Genomic DNA, 26,896 nt, shown 5'->3' with positions numbered 1-26,896 from the left:
TGTATCTTAGGAGCAATAGGCTGTACCATATAACCTAGGTGTGTAGTGGGCTATACCATCTAGGTTTGTGTATGTATACTCTGTGATGTTTGCATAATGACAAAATCGCCTAACAACACATTTCTCAGAACATATCTCTGTCATTAAACGGTGCATAACTATACTTTGTAATTGTTGATCCTCTAATCAGAATCCCCCGTGTATAAAAATTCTGCTCATATCTTCCCAACTCCTCCTACCTCAGAATCAAAAGTCCTTGTTTAACTATGTGCCATAAATGTTAATACTGTCAAACTAGATACAGTAACTTCTGGCTCACTGTTCAGATCATAATTAATACATCATGTTTCATGCCTAAGAAAACCAGGCCAATCACACTGGACAACAGTTACGACCACAGAACATTACGGAATAGTCCCATTTGGACTGGGATTCTGTAAAAAAGCTAAATTGGTAGAATGCGATGTGCTGCTCACTTGCTCTGATCCATAAGGACTCCCGGGTTTAAGGAATTCAATTTTTTATAGAGAGATAGAGGGAATTATTGAAACAATACCTGGTTGAAAAGAAGTGTATGCAGGATTTAGTGACCCCACATTTAACACAAAGCTAGTCACAAACAATCAATAAACTCTCGTCTAAAGATTGATCTCACAACCATAATTATATCTCATTCTATGTGATAAGAGTTATGATAGAGGTAACCACAGAGTCCAAAGGAAGCCCTGAGAAGGAACCTCAAAGTAAAATTAAGGAAAAGGGAGTGTAAATTATGGACTATGTCCCAGAGTAACTGTTTACACAGTGTACAAATGGTATGACATCAAAAGGAGAGGATTACAGGAAAAGTTAAGTTTGGAATGATAATTGCATAGGTGTAACTATTTGAAACTAAGACCTCCTCATCTCTGAGACATAAATACACATGTAATTAACTAAATATTTGTATCCCCCACCCTAATTTATATGTTGAAACCCTTACCAAAGTGATGGTACCAGGAGATGGGGGCTTTGGGGAGGTGATTAGGTAATGAGGGTAGAGACTTCATAAATGGGATTAGTGCTCTTATAAAAGAGACCCAAGAGGGCTCTCTCATTCCTTCCATCATGCGAGGACACAGTAAGAAGACAGACTTCTATGAACCAGGAAGCAGGTTCTCACCAGGCACTAAATCTGCCATATCTTGAGCTTGGACTTCCCAGTCTCCAGAACTGCAAGAAATAACTGTTTTTTTCTTTAAACCATCCAGTCTATAGTATTTTTTGTTATAACTGCCTCAGTGACCTAGGGCAACACATAAAGGTGTTTTCTATGGGATATTTTAGATTATTACCATACCTTTTCCAGATTGTTTTGTAATGTCTGATCCTCTTCTCAACTTTAGGAATAAATACAGATATTGTAAAATGAGAAACAAGATTATATAAAAGTACAAAGAAAATTTATGCTCTTGGCTATCACTGTGCAATTTATCCCCCAATCGTCAATAAAAACAGAACGGGAAACAAGCAAGGAGCCCATATTTTCTGATTGACCAATGTACACTATCTTTGTGTTGGTGATTGCACACAACAACATAACTAATGTTGAGGAATGCAACTTCAAGCCCATTAGGTCAGCTGTCCCCTTGGCTGGCACAGCAGCCAGTGCCCCAGAAATGATGAATAAGCATTGTTCACAATCAGATTACTATCATGGTTTGCCAAAGAGCATTTCTCTTTGGCAATAAAATATGACTTTGTTTTCAGTGTCTGATATGATTAAGTTAAACGTGTGAAGATTCCTAACCTTATCGATTTCCTTGTATTATGCTCATATTTCTCATGCTTTTCAGCACCTTGCTTGTGCCTAAATAGAGGGAGACATTTGAAAGAAGAGCTACTGTTTAGGAGTTGGAAAGAATACAGGCCAGCCAATGTGGAGTAATGCTTCATGGTAAAGGTAGGATGCTAAAGAGTTCTAGAAAGACTAATAAATTTGCCTTTTTCTCAGATTTGGCTATTTGCTAAATAAAGATACTTTCATGGAGATGTTCATAAAATCATACAACTGGAACAGCCCCAAGAAATGGTTTAGTCATCTTCCTTCATTTTACAGGTGAGAAACAAAAGGTTAAACATAGTAACATGACTTGTGCGAAAATCACAGTAAGTGATAAAATCAAAACTGGAATCAAATTTCTTGATCTGAAAACTAGGCCTCTTTCACTCGATCTCGAACAATACTTCTAAGCCTCAGTTTCCTCATCTGTAAAATGGAGATAATAGCATATATCTTATAGAGTGGTTGTTGAAATTGCATGATCATAATACATGGAGAATTGCTTAGCTCCATGCTTTTTATGTAGCATCCAATAATAGTAGATGTTATACTACACTTTTAACACATGTGTTCCTTCAATATTTTTATCAGGACCTAGCCTCTTATGAAGTCAGAAATTGAATATATGGTGTGACTCAAGTGTACTGAAGAGGGCCTCTTTACCAAATGTGTATTTTACATTAAGGTGCCTAAAATCCCTTCCCTAAAGGATATTTCTTTGGGTTAAACATTACCTTCTTTGCCAAATACATTTTTATAATGGGTACAGGCTTGTGTTAATGCACTAACATCTATTTATTTTGAGTTTAACCAATTCTTTATTTCTAATACAATATAAAGGAACATAGGATACAGTTTCTGGAGGCTTAGAAAGTGAGTTAAACCTCTAAGGAGAACTCAAAGGGTAGAGGGAAGGTATTGCTAATATACTGGCAAGCCTTCCACACACATTTTGGGTACATTGCCACTTCCCAGCACACTATGCTGAATTCTACGTTCCTCAGATCACAGCTGAGACAATGACCAATGATTGGAAGCCTACATTTAAAGAAAAACATTGGAAAAGTACAAAATCTCCAGAGGAAGAAGGAATGGGATTCAATGAAATTTAGATTCATGTAATAAAAGAACAAGTTCAAGAACTGGGCAAACTGAGAAACAAACAAACAGGAGGTAGGGGTAGGATGGACTTGATTCCTTCCCTCCTATATCAGAAGGATTATTTCATAAAGGCACCATGAATCCTCTTAGCATGCCTGGACAGTCATTCACCTCTTCCTCTAAAATCCCTATAGCTTTCCTCTGCTGAAATTTATTGCAACAAAACTTGAGTATGTCTTTTTCTTCTCACTAGATATTCAGCTCCTTGAGAGCTACGGCTATGCCTTCCTCACCTTTGTATTCCCACTTGTAAGACAGCACTTGATATATACATCTTTTTCTTAGTGAACAAGCAACCTGTTCTGCATAGCTTCAAAGGGCAGGACTAATATTTTGGGTGTGATTTTCAAAGATTATTTTAGCTCCCTATCAGGAAAACATTCTTAATGCTTAGGCTCAAACATCAGTTTTTATTAGCTGTTTCATGGACACAGAAGCATCAGTGGCTCTTCTGTCAGGGATATGGGATCCTGCGTTATCTGGGAGGTTGCTTTAATAACTACTAAGATTAGTTCAGGACTTTAATATTTTTACTTAGACTACTGAAATAGCCCTCACTGGCCTCCCTGACATTCTGTTTCCTCTCTAACCCATCCTCCACATTTCTTTAAGAGTTATTGCTAAAGCACAAATGTCATCTTCACCTGTATTTCTTGAAAACCCCCTGGATCTCATTGCCTACATCCACATTTGCTAAAGAATGTTTTTGTAGAATGTTATTCCCACTGAATAGTCAACAGACAATGGGTACAATTGTAAAGTAAGTTTGCAAAATGCCACACTTTAGTCCTCTCTTAGAGATTTGGGTGCTCCCTAGTACATGCTACAAAGAGCAATGTCAATGTCTTTCTAGTCTCATCTTAATCAGAGACAATTATTTCTTTTCATTTCGATATTACCAACACTGTCTATGTTTGTCACTTCCTGTTCTTGCCATTTGAGACATGCCATCTCTTGTGAGATGGATCATTAGGGTGAGTAGAGAGAAAAGGGGGATGGGATGAGCAGCAGGTGGAGGGGAGAGAGGGATAATTTCTGGAGGGCATAAAGCAACACTTCATAGCTAAAGAGGCTGACCCTCTGAGATTGTTGAGACTCCACATCTGGCAACATGTATAACTGCTCCATGCTGAAACAACTTCCACAAAGCTCACTGGCACATTTCCTCTCCTTAAAAAAAGTCTAGGCTTTTCCCCACTTCCTTTTCCCTCTACAGCGCCTCTTTTCTTTCCTTCTCTCAGTGAAATGCATTCAGACACTGAAAACTGACATTTATAAGCCATAATAAAGGATAACAAAGGACCAGTCAGTGACAGGGAAAGCTAACATCAACCAGAGCTATCAATGCTCTACAGGAGACACCATTGGGAAACTGCCAAGATTCGCTTTCACAGACTGATGCACCCAGACCCCTGCTGCTGTGGGTGCTGGTGCTAAAGCCCCCAGCTGTCTCTTTTTCAGGGAATTACCCAGCATGGAAGTCGAGCCATCTAGCTCTAAAGTTACACCCCTATTTATCCCTTCCCTATTGAACAGCCTGCAGTCAATGACTGATTGAAAGGAGGGAACAAAAGTCCAGCCCCTCACCTCAAAATGGGGCTAGCACTGTGGTTCAATTTATGCTCCAGAACTCTCTATGGGATCAGACTGAAGCTGGACTCAAGCTGAGACCACATCTTCATTTAACGTCTCCCCATCCTGTTTATCCACATCCTTCCTCTAAGGAGCACTCACTCAATAACCATGGTACCCAAATTCCTGTCTCAGGATCTGTTTCGAGAGAACCTAACCTAAGACACCCCCAATATGGTTTGGCTGCATGTGCCTACTCAAATCTCATCTTGAAATCCCATGTGTTGTAGGAGGAACTCAGCGGGAGGTAATTGAATCATGGTGGCAAGTTTTTTCCATGCTGTTCTCATGAGAGTGAATGGGTCTCAGGAGATCTGACAGTTTTACAAAGAGGAGTTTCCCTGCACAAGTTCTCTCTCTTTGCCTGCTGCCATCCATGTAAGACGTGACTTGCTCCTCCTTGCCTTCTGCCGTGATTGTGAGGCCTCCCCAGCCACGTGGAACTGTAAGTCTATTAAACCTCTCTTTATTTTGTAAATTGCCCAGTCTGTTATGTCTTTATCAGCAGCTTAAGAATGGATTAATACACCCCAAAAAGACCAATCAGAGGCATCATTTCTCCCCAAACTTAAAGTCTTAACTGCTTCCCCCAGTTGCTGATTATATAATTATTGAAAAATAAAATATAAAGATGCAGTAATACATTTGTAATATTTATATTTCTATTATCATAATTCCCAGAGTGTTTTTTTAGTCCTATCTCTAAGTATATATAGATTCAATACCAATTCAATGAGTTCTCTAACCCAGAGTTCTTTGATTTATCTTCTATGGTTAGGTTCTTTCATCAGCTGGTTTTTTTGTTTGTTTGTTTTTTGAAGGATCATGGGTGTTATAGCCTAGATTGCTTATTAGTATATAGCCTTTACATTGAAGAACAGCTTGACTGGGTATAAAAACCTTGGATAGGCCGGGCGCGGTGGCTCACGCCTGTAATCCCAGCACTTTGGGAGGCCGAGGCGGGCGGATCATGAGGTCAGGAGATCGAGACCATCCCGGCTAAAACGGTGAAACCCCGTCTCTACTAAAAATACAAAAAAAAAAATTAGCCGGGTGTAGTGGCGGGCGCCTGTAGTCCCAGCTACTTGGGAGGCTGAGGCAGGAGAATGGCGTGAACCCGGGAGGCGGAGCTTGCAGTGAGCCGAGATCCCGCCACTGCACTCCAGCCTGGGTGACAGAGCGAGACTCCGTCTCAAAAAAAAAAAAAATACAAAAAATTAGCCGGGCGCGGTGGCGGGCGCCTGTAGTCCCAGCTACTCGGGAGGCTGAGGCAGGAGAATGGCGTGAACCCGGGAAGCGGAGCTTGCAGTGAGCCGAGATTGCGCCACTGCACTCCAGCCTGGGCGACAGAGCGAGACTCCATCTCAAAAAAAAAAAAAAAAAAAAACCTTGGATAATAGTATCTATAATTATACAATTTTTCCTCTGTGTTCTGGCATTCAATTCTGCCATGAAGAATTTTAGACTAGCTTGATTTTTCTGCTTGGATGGCCACAGACTTTCTATTCATCAGGAGATGTTTCACATAAAATTTTCCTAAAACACAATAGACCTTTTTTTAACATTAAGATTCTGGTTTTAGTTGATTTCAGGAGATGTTATTTTAACAAATATTTTAAATTTTCCTGTGTTATATTTTTCTCTTTTTAGACTATAATTTATATCATAATTTGTATCTTCTATGTCTGACTTCCATATCTATAATATTGTATCTAATCGCTTTCTAATTTTTTTGTTTCATTTCTTTTTCTGTGATTATTTCAAGCCTTCTATGCTCATGGATGCTATTTTCTATGTTGTCTTTCTTAATCCTTTAGGTTCTTAATGCGGTGACAGTTTTTGATGACTTTATTTTTACATTTATTTCTTAAAATCGGCCTGCCTGATTATCCTTTCAACACTTTGTGTGTGTGTGTGTGTGTGTGTGTGTGTGTGTGTGTCTGTGCATGTGAGAGAGACAGATTAGATTTGATATCTTTTATTAAGTTGTTATCTTTTATTAATTTTATGTCTTTTGCAACTAGCTTACACTCATTTTACTTAAAAGTATGAAGGCTATATTTTTTATTTATTTTCTTCTTCATTTTTTTCTGATGTCAGATTTGCCATTTTGTTTCCCATGTCCCTTTACTCTATGGGTCTTGTTTTAGGTCTTCTGCTCACGGTGCTTCTTGGAATAAGGAAAGTTCTCTCTAGACCAGAGTTCTGCCCAAGAATCGGGGACAGAATGAGCAAGTATGATCTGGAGAAGCTATCAGTTTCCACTTTGGTATATTATCTCGGAAAGCTGTTGAAGCAAATCAGCCACATTTTTTCTATTTGAGTATTTGGTTCTGCTAAGCTTTCAGCATCCCCTTTGGATCATCTTGGTTCACAGCAAGCCCATATCTCACACATCCTCTGTTTCATGATTGGCAGTTGTTGTTTCTCTCTTCAAATGACTGTGATAAGCAGACTCACAGGATCCATAAAACCTTTCAAGACAGAGAGAAGATTAGACTAGCTTTAGGCATGCTGTCATGGAGAAGATGGTGGTTCTTCCCTTCTTTTTCTTCATATTGATGGACACTTTCATAAAGAGAAGCAAGGTAAAAATGTCCTTATGCAATCATCTTTTACTAGAATTCTATACATTGTTCATGCTTCATTGTGGCCCTCTTTTGCCTTTCCATTTATTTGCTGTTACCTAATGAAGAGATATATATGCTACTTTATCTGCTGTCAATTTGTAATGAATTTTACAGACAAAAGTGGTGGCATTCTTGCAGTCGGTGTTTTGCCTTTAAGCAATATCCTTTATGAAGCAGTCTCTAGGAATGCATTATGTCCAAATTGAGGGTCATCTGTATTTTACTTTATTCATTTACTCACTCCTCATTCATTCACCAGATATCTATTGAGTGCCTCTGATGTGTGTTGGCCTAAATAGAAATGGAGAAAAACACACTTACCATTACTCCATAAATCCCCTTGAGATAAAGAAAAAAGTTTCAAGGAACTTGATGATAGTTTTAGAGGCTAATTTTATTTGCTCTGCATTTCTGTCATCCATAAATATTATTAGGGGATGATTATCTGCTTTGTTCCTGACCAGGGAAATTGAATTTCATGAGCTACTGATGAGATTGATTTTTCTAAGGAAAGAAGATTGGTCAGTTGTTTCAGTAGAATTTTCTTTTTTCTTGGTTGTTGTGTTTGAAAGCAGAAATATACGTGCTACTGGGAAGATTTAAAGGTGTGAGTATCTTTATAACAACCCCATCGCAATACATGAAGAGGAATGTGAAATAACCTCATGTAAATCCCACAGGTGAATGAGTAAGGGTATATTTTGTAGACTTCTAAAACAACTCATTCAACTGCCTGAGTTCTTTGGAGAAAATATGCCATCTAAAGCCAATAAATTTGTAAATAAGTAACAGGGCAATGCAGCTATGTGGATGGAAAACATTAAAAGTGGATGATGCTCCATGCTATGAATCTGAGAAGAACATTTGCTGTTGTTTGAGGAAAGATGGAACTGGATTTAGAACTGGGCTAATAATGTGTCCTATTTTCCTATAGAATGCAAACAATTTTGTTTAGGGACTCTGACTTGGGGACTCAGCTGCAGAAACTGTCAACTGAAAATTAATTGAGATGCTTGGCCTTCTTTAGGTTACCAGGGTGTGCAGGACTGGAAATGTCTTTGTCACATGTAGAATATCATTGGGTATCTCAGACCTCGGAACCCAATTGCCTTTTTAGATCAATGTATGCAAAGTGAATGGCACTGGCCAAAGGATAGCTCAGGGTCAGTTTGCTCCCAAATAACCAACACTGATAAAATAAATAAAAGCTAGTAAAGTGAGGTCTCGTAAACAGTTCTTCTGTAGTGACAGATGGGGTGAGGCCTGGATTAAGTCGCTAAGATGAGGAAAACAGTGAGAAGTTCAGTGGCTGGCAAAGTTTCTCTATTTTGATCAAGGAACCTCCTAAAGGTAGCTAAACTGTCTGTCAGCCTCAGTACCTGACAAATGTCAACCTGCCACATGTATAGAAATGAAGAGATTTTTCCTTTTCGCTAAGGAAACAATTCCTATCAATGAATGATATTATAATCATAGAAAATTCAGATCAGGAAATGACTTTAAGACTCATCAGAGACAGTAGGCCTTCGATCTCTTTCACAGGCAAACCTTTTCTTCAAACAGTGTCTTAAGTTAAAGCCTAACAGATAAAAACTAATAAAACTGGAGTCGCTCAGGGCTCAGATGGGAGCTGCTGACCTTACTACCCAGCCTCTGAGTAATAAACTGAATGGATACAGCTCCATGAAACACAGTTTGAAAAGCTGAGCTGACTGGCAAAGGGTCACACAATTAGATAGTGGCAGAGCTAAAACCAGTAGTTGGATAACCCGCTATGATGACCATAATATTTACCAATATTTTTCAAACTGTAATGTGCACACGAATCACCTGGAACTCTTGCTAAAATGCAGGTGATGACTCCATGGATCTGCGAGGGCCTGGGATCTGCATCTCTAGCAATCTCCCAGGTGATGCCAATGCTGCCGGGGAGGACAGCTGGAGAAACAAGAGGCTTTCTAGGACACCACATGCAGGAGGTGAGCAAGCATCCTGGAACGAATTTTAGTCTAAATTATTAAGTCAGCTGCCTGAAAAATTGCTAATTCAGACCTTCTGTCTTCACAGTCTTAATCACTACCTGAAAATAGAAGGGAAAACATAAGCAGAGCAAAGGACAGAATCTGTCAGTCCAACATGGCCCAAAAGTTAATCCTTAGAGAATTAACAAAAAAACAATGAATAGGCCCTGCACGGTGGCTCATGCCTGTAATCCTAGCACGTTGGGAGGCCGAGGCAGGTGGACTACCTGAGGCCGGGAGTTTGAGACCAGCCTGGCCAACATGGCAAAACACCATCTCTACTAAAAACACAAAAATTAGCCAGGCGTGGTGGTGGGTACCTATAATCCCAACTATTCAGGATGTTGAGGCAGGAGAATCACCTGAACCTGGGAGGCAGAGGTTGCAGTAAACTGAAATTGGCCACTGCATTCCAGCCTGGGTGATAGAGCAGGACTCTATCTAAAAAAAAAAAAAAAAAAAAAAAAAAAATGAATAGCTCATACTAGTCCTGATTGTTTTTGAAATCCTAAAACCAAATTTGAAAAATCTTGAATTTTTTTAAACAATATGTTGAGGAAGACTCTACAAATGAAATGACTGAATCGGTGCAGAAGACGAAGACGAAAGGCCAATGACTGCCTATAGAAACATTGCCCAATATATGAAGCTAAACCTCAGAGGTCCTCCACATTCCTTTTGTGGCTTGATTCATCTTGGCACTCACCATTTCTGAGCCTCCGCTCTGCAGCTGGGTGTTCACCTCACTGACTTGGATAGTACCAGCTTTCCCGTTAAACTTTAGCTATTCTGTGCCCTTGCCATCAGATTCTTCATGTATCTGAGGCAGCTGATCAAATAATTTGCAGATTAAAAATAGCTTAATGTGTTTTCATTTCAAGATGGTATTTGGATTCACATAATGGCCTTAGAAACCATAATGTAAACTGGTAATAAAAATATGAGTAAAATGTCTTACACACTTCCTTAAAGTCCTGATTATCTTACCATGAAGACAGACAATTTTTTTTTTTTTTTTTGAGACGGAGTCTCACTGTATATCACCCAGGCTGGAGTGCAGTGGCGTGATCTCAGCTCACTGCAGCCTCCGTCTCCCAGGTTCAAGCAATTCTCCTGTCTCAGCCTCCCGAGTAGCTGGGACTACAGGCATGTGACACTACACCTGGCTAATTTTATATTTTTAGCAGAGATGGGGTTTCACCATGTTGGCCAGGCTGGTCTCGAACTCCTGACATCAGGTGATCCTCCCGCCTCGGCCTCCCAAAGTGTTGGGATTACAGGCATGAGCCACTGTGCCCAGCCATACCCTGATTTCTTAATAGAAATACCACTGGAACTTGTCCGTGAAATGATTAGATCTCTTAAAGAAAGGTCAGCTTCTTCAAACCCTAAAGATTCAGTTATTACCTGTGATATCAATCTGCAATGGAAACTAAAGTGAAATGCCATGTAATGAAGATCTCACTAAATCAATGCCAAGGATACAGAATACCCTAAAGTTAGTTAGAAAAAAAAAATGCATTTAGAGAAACTGATGGAAAACTAATTGTATTAACTGTTATCCACCAAAGTTGCTATAACCTCAACATAAGAAAAGTTGTTTTTTCCCCATTAGCAGTATCTGTGGCTTTTAAGAATTCCTACAACAAATATTACCTAAAAGCTGAGCATCTTTGAGTATTAAACACCAGTAGTTCGGTTCATAAAACAAAAGTAGAAGTTTAAAAAAAGCCCAACAGTGTATTGTCAGAAAACAGCTCCAGTCCATTTATATTTTTTAATGAAATACTCTCTTTTGAGTTTAATGTGGTAAACCAGTTTAAACTATTTAGAAGCCTGCATTTGGTATGCTTTCTTGTAATTTGGTAAAGTAAAAGCAAACCATTTGAATAATAAAAGAGAGGCATTTTCTCCTCAATACTACATTAAGTAAAAGCAAATCACTGATATAATAGTCTAATACAAGGCATTTCTCCTAGTAGACATATTTTCCCCCTTTTCCTTAAAATGTACTTTTGATGGCTGTCCAAAGGCTAAAGACTAAGAGCTGAGAACAAAATCATCATCTTTCTTCATCTTTTCCAGGGTTGGGAGAGCTGCAGAAGTAGCTAAAACAGAAAACAGCAGAGTCTCATCACAGCAGGGCTGGAGCAAGAGCTGGCTGGAAGAATGGACTTTGCAGGGGGATGGAAAAAAGCCTTAATGAATCTTACTCTCTGACTGAAATTTGGAGATTAAATTCAAACCTTTCAACCTCATCACAATTATCTCCCGAATTTGCCCATAACAGCCTGGTATAGAGCAATGTCTTCCTCCCATTCCCACCATCTTTAACTAGAATGCAACAGTTCTAGGGACTCTCTTTCTAGAACAGTTGTTCTAAGTGTTGTTGCTGAGCCAGTAACATCTGCAGCACCTGGGAAGATGCTAAAAATGCAAATTCTTGGGCTCCCTCAGATCCACTGAATCAGAGACTTAGGAGGGTGGGGCCCAGCAGGCTGTGTTTTAACAAACCCTCTGCATGATTCTAATGCATGCTGTAGAATCACCAGTTACATATTTATTTGAACAGAGACTTTTGGCAGATAGAGACTTCACCATGGAGCTAAGTAACTCTCAGCATGCGGAGAATTAATGTTTTAACCTTAGCACCAGCGCTAAGGAGATCCATAATGAAGTGAAACATCTTGGGGACTGACCCAGGGAGTAGAATAATTCTAGAAAAAAAAAAAGGTTGATATGAGATGTAGATGTTATACAGAATTGTGGATCAAAATTAAATGATAAAAAATCAACAGAAAAAGAAGAAGGAAAAGGGAGAGGAAGAAGAAGAGGAGAGCCATTTTTAATACCCTAGAAATTTCACTTATAATGAAATTGGGTTGGCAACTACCTCTGGCTCCAAGTGGTAACTAAATACATTTCTAAAACTTTTTTTTGGATACACAATATTTTTATTTTGACTATTTAGGTTGGGTGTTGTACTATTTTCTATCTATCTGAGGAGCGAGGCACCTTTATTTGAGACCTACGTGAGCATTTTATTTTTAGGAAAATCAGTTTCAGACTGCACTGTACCAAAAGCTCTATTTGTAAGTCATATCTTCAGTAAGCTTCATGTCTTTCTAAAGTGCTATGGTCCTCTTGCCTGGACTTATTAGAGCATCACAGCTGGGCCAGATGTCTGTTGCCAACGAGCTGCAGAGAGATTCTAGGGTATATTAGACGTCTGGACTTCGGTACCTTTAAAGTTTGTTTCCAACATTAAAATTCTCTCATCACAAATTAGGCTCTGAAAAGACACAAGAGTCATTATTCTCAATGTTTATGCCCATGATAAAATGGTACGGTTGTAGAATATTGGGAAGTAAACCTGATCGTGAGATGAAATTGGAAATTGTCTTGGTGATAAATGCTCACTCCAGGCATGTTTCTTTTCTCTTTCCTCTTTCTCTTTAAGGAACATACAGAAAAAGAAGATCTGTTATTTGAAGAGGCTTGTACCTAGATTTCAGTTAAGCAAATAGCTACAAACTGTACTGAAGCATGCTGTATAATACTGCTTATGCACAACTTGCTTTTCCTTACTAACATCAACAAGTGAATGCTCTGAGTATGGTTTAGGAGTGAAGCCATGATATCTATTGGCAATAGGAGTAATGGGTAACTCCTGTTGCTGTTACAGGAAATTAGGGCAGATACTCTGATGGAACCCTCACCTGCTTTATTCCTGCCTCCAACGTGGAAAAAAAAAGGAACAAAAAAAAAAACCAGAAAAAAAAGATCTTTCCCAGTTATCACAGGTGGTACACAAATCTAATTCTGCACATGGATCCTGGAAAGGCCTTTCCCACTCTTCTCTTTGCCATTGCTGCCTCAGTGGTTTTCACATCCCCAAGTTCTCAGTGGTGGCAAAGTTTGAGGCAAAATCTTTGGTATTGAAACAGCCTGGAGCTTAAGTTAAATCCTGAGGGCATGTGGAATGTCAATGCCTTAAGCTTCTCTGGTCTCAAAATAACTTAAATTCCTGGGAAGAACCCAGGAAAACAGAGAACTAAAAGTGAACTGTGAATTTTTGTAGATGCTAAAATTCAGTTCTAATCATAGGGTGGTTTTGAAGGTGTTTCTAGGAGGTAAGATTGTAGAGTGCCAAAGCATTGCCCTGAGGGTTAAGGACACCAAGGTCTAGTCATGGATTTGCTTCTAATCACTTAAGCTCTCTGAAATCAGTTTCCTTCTCTATAAAATTAGTGTCATAAGAGTGTGTACATCACAGGGTTGGTGGGGAGATTAGGTACTTCATGCATCTAGTCCAGGTTCATCACTCAATATGTGTTAGCTACAAGTGCTTTTTATCAGCTAGCCACGAGCAAATTATTTCATCAGATTAGACCACAGATTCTTTTCACATTATGATGGAGGTAGAATGTGTTCCACTGAATTTGAGGTTTTCTAGAAAACTCCTCAGACTTAACCTTGGAGAAAGAGAAGGACAGCGAAGGGGAGGAAAGATGCCTTGGATAACACAAACCCTGCTTTCGATTCAAACCCTAGTAGCCAGGTTTCCCGTATTTTATGCACTTAGAGTCAATTTTACTTAACTGAAATATAAATGGGGGGAATAATTATGCTGATTTCTTAAAAGTTTCAAAAACACTGCGCCAGATATTCTCAAGATCTTTTTGAGCTCTGAAGTCATTTCATTTTCAATGAGTATATTAATTCACCTGTCCTTATGCAAGAGGTTCTCAATATAAAAATACGTTTACCTAACTAAAAGGGGAAATTCATGCCTTCTCTTCCCCAAATACAGACACGAGAAAAGGTCTTAGCTAGTCATCTAATCTAATCCTTTCTATAGCAATTCCAAAGCTTTTATTTTGTCTGTTTCTTCTTTCTTTCTTTCTTTCTTTCTTTTTCCTCCCTTCCTTCCTTTCTTCTGTTTTTCTAAAGCCTCAGATATTCAGATATATTTGGTCTCGTAAAGCTCTAGTTTCTTTTTTTTTTTTTTTTTTTTTTGAGGTAGAGTTTCACTCTTGTTGCCCAGGCTGGAGTGCAGTGGTGCAATCTTGGCTCACTGCCACCTCTGCCTTCCGGTTTCAAGCAATTCTCCTGCCTCAGCCTCCTGAGTAGCTGGGATTACAGGTGCCCACCACCACACTTGGCTAATTTTTGTATTTTTAGTAGAGACAGGGTTTCACCATGTTGGTCAGGCTGGTCTCGAACTCCTGACCTCATGATCCACCTGCCTCGGCCTCCCAAAGTGCTGGGATTACAGGCGTTAGCCACCGTGCCCAGCTGTAAAGGTCCAGTTTCTTATTCCCAAGTTGAGAGAACATATATAAAAGGACAAGGTGAAGTGAGAATGAAGACAGAATTAAGAAAAGTAATGAAGATTGTTTCATGTGATAATGGGAAATAATAATCCCACTGTGAAAAAAAGAGCCTTGTAAATTATGGAGCAACTTTCCCTCTTCTCAACTTCCTCCTCTTCTTTTTCTCCTCCCTTCCCTCCCCCTTCCTCCTTTTCTTCTCCTTCACTTTAAAAGGTATTCCAAGCAGTAAAATGCAACTCCTTGAACAGTCAAATGTTCAGTCAATGATCTGCATTTTACATAATTTATATTTCTAATCTTTCCTCTACAGCAGTGTTTGAGGCTGGTCAGAGGTGCAGGCATTCCTCAACAGGAACGTGACAACAAGCAGTCCCTGATCCTTGATGAGGACAACATCTACACAGGCCTGCTACTGGCACCTGGGAAGTTTACACATCTTTACAAAACTCAAAATCCAGTTCTAAATATGCTCATGCTTTGGTGATGACGAATTAGTACTCCCTTCATACATGAACGAGAAAACTCTGGGTAACTCATGATATGTAAAGGTAAAACAATGTGTTTGTTTGCATCCGTAGCATTGTGCCAGGAGAGGGAAAGATTTCCTTTCATCTGTGCCTGCGGTATTTAGCACTTTCCTGTATAGTATCACAATCCTTATAACAACTTGCCCAGTTTTACAGATGAGAAAATCGAGACCTCCAAGTTGTGCATCTCATCAGGTTTGTCTGAACCACACTAGGCTCTCTAAGGGGTGCACCAAAGCAGAAAATGCAGTTTCTATATCACCAAGTTTGTGAGACAAATGAACGTCCATGAAATCAATAAGTCCTAAAGTATGTGTAGAGATGAGCAGGAAGGGATGGTTAGTTTAGTAACAATGAGAAGTCCACATGTGAAAGGTGAAGGAAATTGGTTGGGTCTTGCAGACTGGAAAAGACCCTTAAAATAACAAGGCTGACACCGTGGTCCCCTGGTTATATAACTAACATCAGGGTTCACTAATTCAGAAGAAGATCATCTGAGTTATGTTTCATGAAAAGGCTGAAGCTGTACGAAAGTCAAGAGCAGCCTTACTATGCTATTTTCTTATTTCTACACTTTTTCCCAAATAAAAATAACTCTTCATTGCTATGTTCAAAGACAACAATTTCATCAGAGTAATTATGAGTCTCATCTCCACAGGCATCTGCAGATCTTTAAAGATTATTGTTTTGATAGTTGCCTTTAAAGGTAGATGCTGGAATATAACATTTTCTAGCAAGAGACAACATTTATGGAAAACTCATCATCTGGAAACAATACAGGACAAGAAGCAATTTGAAGCTCACAGACAATGTATGCCTGGAGGAAGTGTTCTGTTCTGGGGTGATGCCATCATGCCTGGGCTGCTCGTGTTAGTTCAGGATCACTTTGTGGATCAAACTTGCAGGAGAAGTTTGAGCTATTGTAAGGTTTGGGAGCCAACGTGTGTTAAGAGCTGATGGAGACATATCCTGTGTGTCTTCACTTTCTACTGATCATTAGACAGCATCTTTACAAATAATCGAGTTTGATTTGACTGGGAGTGGTTCAGAAGCTCAGTTGAGATCTTGGAAAATGTGTAACTCTAAGGTGGTTTTTGGGCTTCCCTGATATCAGCTACATATTTTTCCATATATTTGTTCTGTTTTGTTTTTATCTGCTGTACTTTCAGAGGATGGTGTTCAAAAATAGCCACTGATTTCTTTCCAACCGTTTTTAAATTGCTCATTTTAGTGCAAGAATAAATGGGCAAATGTCAAAAGCCTACTCTGACAGTTCTGTCTGTATTTAGCACAACACTGGAGGACCCAATTATGAAACTTTTTACCTGCTCCATAAGCTTGTCTTTCTCAGGGCCTGAATTCCTGCTAATACTTTCTTGGAGTCACATTGATTTTATAAAGTCTCTCTGCACAAAAGAATATTCAAGGCTAAATATAAAAAGCTATCAACTAATATATTTTGTATGCAGAGTGTAAAGTAGTATGCTTTAGAACTATATCCATATATATTTATACCTATTTATCTATACCTATATACCTATGTTGATATCTATACATACTTATTTATCTTTGGTATAAGATTGAATTGTTAGTCCCCACTCTTATCCTCTCTGTCTTCTACAGAAGAGACCATTCACTAGGCCTTAGGATCCGGGGATACCCATCATCCCTGAATGCGTCTGTAATACCTTTTGCGTCTAATGCTTTAAACCACATACTTAAGCTCTTTGGTATCTGTAACTAAGAAGGTGTTTTAACCAATTTAAATTAATAACTACAAATAAGTCTGTGATATTTACATCTAGATTTGTGTTTGAGTGTACAATTGTCACTTCACTGTAGGCCAGGAAATGACGTGCATCACTGTGAACCTCTTCGATTGTCCAGACCAGAAGAAATCCTCCTAAAGGCAAACAGTTGAAAAACCAATGAATGTCTCAAAGAACAGTATGAAGTGGTGATAGGAAACCTGACATTTATTGAGCACCTGCTCTATATCAGCAGGCTTAGTATTTTACTTGCATTAACCCATTTAGGATTTTTGTTTGTTTTTTGTTTTTTTGTTTTGTTTTTTTGAGACAGAGTCTTGCTCTGTCACCCAGGCTGGAGTGCAATGGCGCAGTCTTGCTCACTGCAACCTCTGCCTCCCGGGTTCAAGCAATTCTCCTGCCTCAGCCTCCTGAGTAGCTGGGATTACTGGCACACACAACCATGCCCAGCTAATTTTTGTATTTTTAGTAGAGACAGGTTTTCGCCATGTTGGTCAGGCTGGGCTCAAACTCCTTACCTCGTGATCCACCCACCTTGGCCTCCCAAAGTGCTGGGATTACAGGCATGAGCCACCACTCCTGGACAGCCCATTTAGTTGATACAACTAGCCTGTGAGGTGTAACAATCCTCAGTTTCTGATGAGAAGGCCCAAGTTGAGAAAAGAAAAGGAAGTGGTGAAAGGCCAGATAGTGCAAAGTCTCTATTCACATCCAAATTGCATGACTAAAACTTATGCTGCACTCATTCTACAAATGCTTCTGAAGCCCACCAGGCAGGGGAATCACTGTAACTTCTGAGTTCTCTCTTATAACTCCTGGAGTCTTTTCATATTCCTTATCACCTCCTAGCCAGCTTTCTCCTTTTCTGTGTTTTGCTTTAGAAAGCATTTCTTTCATTTTCACTCTGTCCATGAAGTCTTTCCCACCACGATTCACTCATAAGAAGAAACAGAAATAGTTTACATTTTTTTAAAGTCATGTGTTTCCTCCACAAAATGAATGTAAAAACAAACCAACAGGCAAACATTTAAGAGGGAAATGTCTCTATTTCTCTCAACTTTACTTACATGAAATATAGTCCTTATAGGACCATACTGGCTTATAATCTTTCTGCATTTCCAAATTGGCATCTGATAGCATTCACAAATGACTTCCTTCAAATATCCAACACTATCAAATCTTCCCTTATTAACAGCAAATAATCTAGATTCACAGAGAAAGTGGAGTCCATAGACAGGAGCCCTCTCAATGCCTATTACTCCACTCACTTTCTTAGATATATAAAGAGAGATCACCAAGCTGGGGGAGCTGTATGGAGCCCTACGCTGTCTCCTTCATGTCACACCCAGGGTCCAGCATGGGACTGCTATTTCCATCAGAGACCTTGGGGAAAAGCAGTTCAGAATTTAGTCTCCAGGCCTGCTACCCTCCAAACATGTAACCTTATACAAATTATTTAATTTCTCGACTAACTGAACTCATTTCTTAGTTCAGTTCCTTCAAAGAAAAATCCTTCCTTACAGGGTTGTTTTGGTGATCCGATGTAAGAAAGGATTAATAGAATTATTATTAAAGTAGGTAGGTAGTTAGGATTCAACAAATCTTCATAACAATTATGATTTGTCTCAGTCAGGGATTATTTGGTTATTTTATTTGTCAGAAACAAAAGCCTGCTGAACCTAGTTCAAACCAAAGAGAGAGTTCCCTGGAACACTTTCAGAGCATCTGGCAAAACCACAGAGTTTAAAGGATTTTGTGGCATCTTACAGTACTGAAAGAGGGTGAAATAAATATAGCTCACTTCTCTGTCTTGAAATCTAGTCTCTTATTTCTGGATTTCATTGCTTATCTGCAGTTTCACTCTCTCTCTCTTTCTCTCTCTCTCTCTCTCTTTCTCACTCTCGCTGTCTCTTTCCTCACACTGGAGATGTCGGTTGTCTTGGTATTCGACTCAAATTGCCCATCCTAGCTAAGTCTATCTTACCTCTAGTTTAAGCATACATAATTAATTTTAAAAGACCCTGTTTCTGAATTTCACGTTCTCAGGGTAGAAAATCCATTTGGTCCAGTTTGAGGCAGGTGTCTACCACAGCTCAATGAACCAGTGATGAGATGGGGACAAGCTAACCTGACTCTTTGGGGACAGTGGGGGCTGTGAAAGCAGCCTCTCTGAGAGGAGGAAACAGGCTAGATAAATGAAAGTCGGCTTTATTACTCTCATTATCATCACTAGAGGCAAGGAGAAGACACAACTTAGATGCTCTGATGTGCTATACTTCCCATTGTAACCCAGTGTCCTTTTTCTGGGCACACTAAGCCCTGTAAGGAGAGTAAGTTCACACGAAAGCTTGCAATCAAGTGTTTATAGCAACAGTATTCCTAAAGCCAAAAATTAAAACAACCCAAATGTCTATCAGCTAGTGAATAGACAAACTGTGATATATTCATACCATGAAACATTACTAGCAATAAAAATAAACAAAATATTATTACACTTAACATGAGTCAATCACAAAAAGTATGCTAAGTGAAAGAAATCGAATGTAAAAAACTATATAATTTACGTTTCCATGTATATGGAATTCTAGAAATGACCAAACTATAGTGATCAAAAACAGATGAGTGGTTACCTGAGGTTGAGAATGGAAGTGAGGAGTTGATTGCAAAAGGACATGAGGAAATGTTTTAGGGTGATGGCACTATTTTATAGCTTCAGTGTAAGGACGTTTACTTGACTGCATACAATGACCAAAATCCATCAAATTGTACATCAAAATAAATACATGTTATTGTATGTAAATTATGCCTCAGAAAGAAACAAAGAAGAGAGAAAGAAAAGGAGGAGAGAGAGATGGAAAAAAGAAGAAAGGAAAGAAAGAGGAAAGGAAGGAAGGATGGAAGCAAAGAAGGAAAAAAGGAAGAAAAGAGGCTGTCATTTCCAAATTCTACTTGCCATTTTTTCAGGTGAGTCAGCATATATCAATTACTATGCTTATGGATACATGATTACCACTAATAAAAACATTTTATTGAGCAATTACCATGTGGTAGAAAGTATAATTCCTTTATATGCATTATTGAATTTAATTCTTATAGCAACCCTGCAGAGTAGGGGTTATTATTCCCACTTTAGATATCAAGAAGTAGTTGTTCAGAGAAGCTAAGTTTCTTGCTAAAATTGCCACGTTAATCAGTGGTACAGCTGAGATTCCAAATCAGGTCTGCCTGATTACCAGGTCTCTGTCCCCAACCACCAACCTTCAAGAATTATTCCAGTATCAATCCCGGATAGAACCTCAAGTCATAATCATCATATGGTTTTTTTTAAAAAAAGAAAAAATCAGGAAAATCACAGTGATACTGGACTTTTAAGCCAATATATGAATCATGTTGTTTCTGGTGCTCAGTAAGCTGATTTTAAGGTAGTTGAATAGTGTCTCCTATTATGTGAACTATAACCACGTACGTATCACAAATGGTGTAATCTTCTTGTTTGTGTGATGTTTGTATAACATGGAATGTTAAAAAATTGTTTCAGAACAATGCAAATGAAAACTGAAGGCTGGCCATAGTGATTCACACGTGTAATGCCAGCACTTTAGGAGGCTGAGGCATGTGGATGGCTTGAGCCCAGGAATTTGAGGCCAGCCGGGACAACACGGTAAAACTCTGTCTCTACAAAAACTACAAAAATTACCTGGGGTGTTGTAGTGCATGCCTGTAGTCTCAGCTATTCGAGAGGCTGAGGCGGGATTATCACTTGAGCCCAGGAGGTGGAGGCTGCAGTGAGCCAAGATCACACCACTGTACTCCAGCCTGGGCAACAGAGTGAGACCCTGTCTCAAAAAAAAAAAAAAAGAAAAAAAAAGAAAAAAAAGAAAACTGAATAATTCAGACCCACTGGAGCCCAACTCAGAAACCATTGCAGGATGCTAGTCAACTCTCAGCTAAGCTGAGGGCTACTTTGTAGATCAGTCACATGAAATGTATACTTTTTAGTATGTCACCGTGCTTGAAGGCACTTGGTCTATATAGTCAGAGTGAATTACAAAAATCAATACAATTGTTTGTATCATAGGAGGGGAGGAGAGCTGTCTTTGTGAAGCATGATACTTCCCTGATGCCTTCACAGGCTAGCTGGCTCCTTTGGTGCTGGCAGGGTCAGACTCCACTTGCTTGGCCCAGTTGTGTTCCACCTTTTGTGGGAGGGGGAGAGCAGGTGAGTGGACACGGGAGCCAGGATGAGTGTTTTTGGGTGCCGGCAGGAGCAAAACTTTGTGCAGACCCCACAGCAGCATCTAGGGGGGTGCCTGCAACACCTGAAGCCCTAGAAGGAGTGTTACAGTGCCCTTTCAACTTTGCCATCTGTGGATGGCTGGATGGCTTAAGTGTTAAAAGCTCAGTGGAAGGTCAGTGTGACAGCCTTTTGTACCCGCACTCATGGCACCTAAATTCTTGTCTGGCATCCAGGAGGAATAAGGTCACAGGAACAAATTGGAGATGGTAAGTGCAGGGGATTTTATTACCGATGAAAGTGGCTCTCAGCAGGAAGGGGAGCTGGAAAGGGGATGGAGGAGGAACGGCCGGATTCCTCTCCAAAGCTATGCCATCAAGCTGTCCCTCTGAAGTCAAGTCACTTCTCTCTGACATCTAACCATAGTCTTCCACATCCAGCTGCTTCTCCTCTCTGCTGGCTGAGTTCTGGGGTTTTTATGGGCACAGGATTGGGAGTGGGACAGGCCATGGGTGGTTTTGGAAAAGGCAACATTTGAGTGGGAAAACAGGTATGTATGTTCTCACTTTGGGCTGTGGTTTCAGGCTTGAGGTTGGGGCCCTTGCCGGGGACCTGCCTTCTTCTGCCCAGAATTCCCCTGCCTCCTATCTCTATTATTTGTATTATCTATCAATCACAAAGTATTTAATGAGTTCTTACCAGGAGCCAGGACTGCTTTGGAAAGAAAGTAGAATGAGGCATAGAAATCATTTCAAGATATCTTGCTATGTAATTGCTCAGAAAAAACTAACATGCATGAACTCGTCACAATGAAATGATAAACTGTACGGTTTTGAAAACAGCTACCATATAAGTTCATAGATAGAGGAAAGCAGAATGAGCTGGAGAGTCCGAGAAGACTGAAGGGAAGGGCAGCAGAGTGGCAGAGAGAACAGGGTGTGGGGCAGGCAGCTGGCTTTGTGTCCCAGCGGAGTGACTTCACAACTGTGTCCCTTAGTGAGTTTATTCCTTTGTGCCTTGATGCCATTATTTGTAAAATGGAGATGTAGAACTACCTTATACAGTTTGAAGGAGTTCAGGACATGCCACCTCAAAATATGCTATTTGGGCATATTGATTATTTTGAGTTGGAGATACTTGAGGAACAGCAGATGCAGGAAGGGGTCTCTGACCTCCCCTTTGCTACCTAAAAATGGGCCATTAAAAAAAAAAACACATAAATTTCATTTGAGAAAGGTGCTCTCCCTGTACCAAGAAAAGAGGAACACTCTAATCACCAGAGACTGGGAATCAATGCTGAAATGAATCTGTTCAAACAAGCTTGCTAAAATAACCTTTATCTTCTACTAGTTTTCCCCAATATATCTGTTAGTTACTTCCCTACAATTTATTGCTCCTAGCCCAAATCCCTTTGTCTTATCATTTCTTTAAAAATTTATCCTTTCTTTGTCTAAAAGGTATATAAGCTATCTGTTTTGGTCACTTCTTTGGGTCTATATTTTTTTATTTTGTTTTGTAAGGACTTCCACATATATGTAAAATTTTAGCAAATTGTGTATGATATTCTCCTGTTGATCTGTGTTACCTCAGTTTCCTTCTTTTTTTTTTTTTTTTTTTTTTTTTGAGACAGAGTCTCACTCTGTTGCCCAGGCTGGAGTGCAGTGGCGCGATGTTGGCTCACTGCAACCTCTGCCTCCCCGGTTCAAGCGATTCTCCTGAGTCAGCCTCCCGAGTAGCTGGGACTATAGGCACCCGCCACCATGCCCGGCTAATTTTTATATTTTTAGTAGAAATGGGGTTTTGCCATATTGGCCAGTCTGGTCTCGAACTTCTGACCTTGTGATCTGCCTGCCTCAGCCTCCCAAAGCACTGGGATTACAGGCATGAGCCACCACGCCCAGCCACCTCAGTTTAATTTAATTCTTAGGTACTGCCAGAGACCCTTAGAGGGTAGAGGAAGAATCTTCCCCAATAGGGTGATATCAACATTTAACAACATATACATGACATGTGTTGAGAATAGTGGCTGGCCTATTGTGGAGTCTCAATGAATGCAAGCTACTTTGTTATTATACAGGTAGAAATTAAGGTGAAACTTAAAGCTCAGTAAGGTATAAAAAGGAGGAAGAAGAGGGTGGGGTGGGTACTCTTGGGAAAAGCAATAGCATAAGGCAGGCATAGAGACAACGATAGAGGGTGAGGAGAAGGGCTTAGTTGCAGGCTGGAGTACTTTTCATGATAAGGAGGGGCAGGAAGTTAACATGAGATCAAGTGGAGCAAAACTGAGGATGACCTTCAAATCCAGAAAGAGAAAAGTGGATTATACACAAGAGCAATAGAAAACTGGCACTTCAAGAAGCAATTGCTCAAAAACAAACAAAAGTAATGTTTAATGAACATTTGTCTCATAGTAACATATAAGATGAGTTGGAAATAAGAAGTGGCAAATAGAAGACTAAATAGAAGGCTATTGAAGAATCCTGTGTATGTCAACAAAATTCTAAAATTCAGGACTGAAATAAGAATGTTGAAAATTTACCCATCAAAAATCACCCCACACCAGTCCTAAGTTATAGAAAGACTACAGCTACTTACTGTGACAGTAGGGAGGTAGTAGTGCCTGATTCTGTAACAAATGACTAGAAAGTAGAATATTCACTTTACTACACTTGGTTAAAACATATCTATTCCAAAAATCAAGGTAAGCTCTTTACTACTTGTGATTCTTTCCCCCACATAGGCATTCTAAAATATACAAGGGATCCTCTACAGTGCTCCAAAGCTATGTGAAAATAGAAACTGATGAATAATTATAAAAACCAAAAAGCCTTTCTAGTGTCTTATTTTTTATGGGACAAAAGTCAGACAAAATCCAGCATCAAAAGTAAGTAATAGGAGAGCCCAGTCAATCTCAGCAAGCTTTACAAACACCTGCAGCATTTTGAGATTGTCCCAACCAGAGTTCATGTTTCTATGTGACAGTTTCACTTGTCTTAATCCTGCATCCAACCCCCTTCCCTTCTTGTCCCACAAACAGTGTAATGAAACAACATATTGTTTGGGACCGTGAGATAATTTCTCCCCTTTCAGGATAACCTCTTTTCTCAAATTTGGGACATTTACCCTGGAATCAATGTATATTCTATTGACTGACTTTCACTTCAGTATGCTAAAACCCAAAAAATGCATCTCCAACGTGTCATTGATATATCAGTATCAAGGCATTTGAATCTCTCAACCTTTTAAAAGAAATGACATAAATTATAATCAGTCAAAACTCCCAAACTATATACCCTGGTTATAAAGTATATCCATTTCATGATTAGATATTGAAGACCAAATCAAGCCACTTTTCCAGTCATTTTTAAGGTGAACATCTCCCTATATCAAAGAAAACCACTGTCCCACTTAGTATTTCTGATCCCAAAGCAAATATCACAGATGTACTAGCTGTGCACATCCCTCCTTTTATAAAGTTGGGTAAGTCGAGTAGCACTTAGAGCATCTGTGCATGAAGCCCCATGCTATTGGTGATTTTCCAGAGCCATTGCAAAGGGTGCAGCAGCCAAAAGCATCTTGAACAGAAGAGCAGTCCAAGTTAAATCCATTTTTCAACTCTTATCCATCTATCTCTATAGCCCTCCATGGGCCCTTTATACTTCACACATATGCACACGCACACTTGCACAGACACACACGCACTTTTATGTCATCTTCTGTCTGTCTCAAGCTGTGGCAAGGGCCTTGGCATGTCCTATTCCACAGTACTCCGAAATCCTCTCTTTTAAGTAGAATTCACACTTAGTCTGATCTCAATTTGCATAGAAATCATACATTTAAAGTTTTCAAAAATTCATGTGAAAGTATGAGTCACTTGATCGTGGGTTTAACCCTCCCAAGGATGTCTGAATTCTAATACAAGTCTCTACTAACCTAGTGAGTAGGTTAGTACTTACTAGGTACTACCACATGGTAGAATGTGTGGGGAAGATATTTCGATTGGAGTATGCTTGTGTGCACCCACATGAGAAAAAGAGGGTCACTCCTTTGGCATTTCAATTCTGAAAGGAAACAGCTCAAAACATAGGTTACTTAACTCATTCATTAATTTTGTATAGAACAATGACAAGTGACTTATTACTTATCCATGACTGTTTTGGAATCTCTTAAGCTTTGCCATATTCTAAAATGTAGTATGATTTTTTAAATTTTAAATACAAGAAATATATGTCTACGTACTGGTACCTGTATTTATAAAGGGGATATGTTCATGAACTAGTCTTGTCTATATTAAAATTTTGTAAGTAGCAATCCAGTTTAAATGTTTGAAAAATGCTTGTAATGGAACTATGTTGAGTACAGAATAAAAACTTTCTCTCTCACGTGGATTTACCAAAAAGTTTCATAAAATATCAGTCTTTTGGCTGGGTGCAGTGGCTCACGCCTGTTATCCCAGCACTTTGGGAGGCCAAGGCAGGCAGATCATAAGGTCAGGAGTTCAAGACCAGCCTGGCCAATATGATAAACCCCGTCTCTACTAAAAAAATAAAATAAATAAAATAAATACAAAAATTAGCTGAGCGTGGTGGTGCGTGCCTGTAATCCCAGCTACTCGGGAGGCTAAAGCAGGAGAACCACTTGAACCCAGGAGGCAGAGGTTGCAGTGAGCCAAGATTGCACCACTACACTCCAGCCTAGGGGATGGATTGAGACTCTGTCTCAAAAAAAAAAAAAAAAAAAAGGAATATCAATCTTCGTTTTTTCTCATATAAATCGTATCCTCACTTTAATGGTGTTTGACCAGATGGAAAGACACTTTCTTCATCAATTATTTCCCACTATGCTTTAGGACTGAATACGTACTTCTGAGTAATATTTTATCATATGACACCCGAGATACAGCTTCATGAGCATGAGAGTTGCAAAATGAAATTGAACCGCTCTAGCACCAAAACCATAAGCAGGATGACAGATATTGATTGTGCCCCAAGATGTAATGTAGACACCTAATGGGGCGTAGTAATGTACAATGAATCATTAGAATATTATTTTAAATTTTCTATTCACCTGGGGGATTGCTAACGGGGTATTTCACCTTCAAGTTACTCCTCCGCCTCTCTAGACTAGGAGATCGCTTGATAAAGGTCATTTAGAACATGGCAGATTTTTTAGCAGCTTTGGAAAATTATGGATTGCTTTTTAGGTCCCAGGGAGCAGATGTCTATATTATGAGGACAACAAAATTTTTTAATTTTTTAAAAATATATTCTTGTTCATCAAAACACAAAGGCTGGGACATTTTGCAAGAATTAGACTAATAATCACATGATAAACAACTAGTATTCATTGCACACTCACCATTGCTACTTGGACAGGTGTTTCACATATATTTCTCTAATGTCCACAATAACCCTCTGAAGTAATATTATTATTTTTGCTTTAAGGAGGTGCCAGCTGAGACAAATGGAGGTAAAGATAGTAGCCTGAGATGTTCACACAGTAAATGGTACAGCCAAGGTGAATACCCAGATTTTTCTATATCTGGGAACCATGCACTTTTTAACTACTATATAATCCTTCCTAAAGAAAAGCTATGAGACCTGGGGTCATTCATTAGTAAATTAAGTGACTGCTCATCTTTGTAACTATAGTTTCCACCCTAAAGCAGGTTGCCTAGGCCATCCTCTCAGTCATAGGTATGAAGTGCATGGAAAGTGTTCCCAGTGCCTTTTCTGTGGCCCTCGGCTCTGAGGCATTCATCATT

The 26,896-nt window shown here is 39.4% G+C and overlaps 1 protein-coding gene and 1 long non-coding RNA gene across 11 annotated transcripts in view; both read right to left on the bottom strand.

Annotated features, from left to right (window-relative positions):
* DPP10 (dipeptidyl peptidase like 10) overlaps positions 1-26,896 on the bottom strand; it is a 1,403,140-nt gene that overhangs the window by 1,317,974 nt on the left and 58,270 nt on the right. The window lies entirely within an intron of this gene.
* LOC124907877 (uncharacterized) lies at positions 6,590-9,684 on the bottom strand. The gene is made up of 2 exons (XR_007087209.1): positions 9,076-9,684; positions 6,590-7,536 (listed from the first exon to the last, which is right to left on the bottom strand). It is a non-coding gene; the product is annotated as an uncharacterized LOC124907877 (long non-coding RNA).

The sequence above is a fragment of the Homo sapiens genome, chromosome 2, assembly GCF_000001405.40.
Source record: "Homo sapiens chromosome 2, GRCh38.p14 Primary Assembly".
Classification (NCBI taxonomy): Eukaryota; Metazoa; Chordata; class Mammalia; order Primates; family Hominidae; genus Homo; species Homo sapiens.
Note: the sequence above shows the minus strand (reverse complement) of the source record. Positions and strands in the feature narration are given on the sequence as shown.